Source organism: Homo sapiens, chromosome 3 (genome assembly GCF_000001405.40).
Source record: "Homo sapiens chromosome 3, GRCh38.p14 Primary Assembly".
NCBI lineage: Eukaryota > Metazoa > Chordata > Mammalia > Primates > Hominidae > Homo > Homo sapiens.
Window position 1 is genome coordinate 22,962,476 of NC_000003.12, and position 1,810 is coordinate 22,964,285.

General features: G+C 44.5%; 1 annotated feature.

Moving 5' to 3' along the window:
* Positions 304-514: a silencer, noted in NCBI's record as "fragment chr3:23004270-23004480 (GRCh37/hg19 assembly coordinates)". NCBI's record gives its function as "represses an EF-1alpha promoter that drives an FKBP-Casp9 reporter gene in an ReSE screen in K562 erythroleukemia cells {active_cell/tissue: K562}" and the evidence as "EXISTENCE:reporter gene assay evidence [ECO:0000049][PMID:32094911]".

Here is a 1,810-nt window from a genome sequence, read left to right on the forward strand (position 1 = left end):
CTCTCTGTCTGCTCTGCTACTTTCTGAACTGTATCCTCACTCTTTCCTGAATAGACACCTTGTTCTATGTAGCTGGGTTTAGGGTCAGAAGCAAATGGCCTGCTACGCTCTGAATGTCCGTGTCCCCCCAAAATTCCTATGTTAAAATCTAATCCCCAATGCGATGGTGTTAGGAGGTGGAGCCTGTGGAAGGTGATTAGGGATTGGTGTCACCGTGGCAAAGGAGCTCACTACCAGATGCGCTAGAAGTCAATACTCTGACACCGGGTTTTTGAGAAAAGAAAGACTTTTTACTGCAAGTAGACTCCCAAAGAGACAGGAGTCAAGCTCAAATCTGTCTCCCTGGGCTGGGGCTAAGGCAGTTATTTTATTAGAAAAGGTTTAGCGGGTGGATTCCGAGATTAGCAGGTGATTGGTGGAAGGAAAGGGGAGGTCTGGAAAGTCCTCAGGCATGCGTGGTTCTCTCTTCATGCCTCTTTCTTGGGGCCCATGTGCAAATTCGGGGGGAGTTAGTATGAAATGTGGTGGAAATTCAGGCTGTGACATCAGCAAGCTCACTCTGCACAAACTCCAGTCAGCCACATTGCTCCCAACTAATTTCAGCTAGTTTTGTTACCTTTTAAATGGAGGGATTTTCAGAATTTCAGCAAGTTGTTTCTTTTCTTAACTGCTATCCTGCAACTCAATATTTTATGTTAGTCACAGGTTTCTTTAATTCTTCAGGGCATGGTTTCATTAGCGCCCTTACAAAAGAGGCCCCAGAGAGCTGCCTTACCCCTTCTGCTGTGTGAGGACACAGCCAGAAGAAGCCACCCATGAACCAGAAAGTGGTCCCTCACCAGACACGGAATCTTCCAGCACCTTGATCTTAAACTTTCCAGCCTTCAGAACTGTGAGAAATAAATTTCTGCTGTCTATAAGGTGCTCAGTCTATGGTATTTTGTTATAGCAGCCCAAATGGACTAAGACATGGCTACAGACATTCCTATTCCCAGAGGACAAACACCATTTTTCTCTTACGGCACTCCATGTTAAATCTATAGTAAGGATTCCAAGGGGCCCAGTTTGCGGCACATCCTCACATCTCTGGGCCAATTTCCAAAGTCTGAAGAATGGGGTGTTCTAATGGCCATCCTTGGATTCGCTGTAGCTTGGTGGAGGCTGGGAGGCAAAGAACAGGATATTGTGATCTGTGGCCTTCTTATACACAGACTACTCACAGCAAGGTGCTATTGCCCGAAAAGGAGGAGGGTCAGGAAGTATGAGAGGGGATAGCTAAGCAGGAATACACACACACACACACACACACAATCTACTATTTGCTATTAGGTCAATTGATCACCAGCTCTAGAAAAGTGGTTATAGGGTATCAGCCCACTCCCATATGGCTCCACAGTGGGGGAAGGGGAGAAGCAAAGTGAATGAATCACTATGGGAAGGTAGACTTTACTTCAAATACAGAGAGAACTTTCTAACAATTAGAGGACACAAAAGATGCCATAAGCTATACCTCATAATATACTGAGTCTCCCATTTCTGGAGATGTTCAGTTATGAGCTGGAAGACAATTAGGCAGAGATGTTGCAATGGGAATATAAATTTCAGATGGGTGGGAAGTGAATCCAAATTACAATAACCTTGAACATTTATGATTCTGCAAATTATAACATATCGGATGGGATGAGATTTATCCTCAGGGACAGTGTTGGCCATTAGACATTTTGGTTCTTGGGACCTGCCTTCTGATGGAGGTCACCGTCTGGTGGTCCATGGACCACCTAGTATTATTTTAAATATTTTATTTAATTGC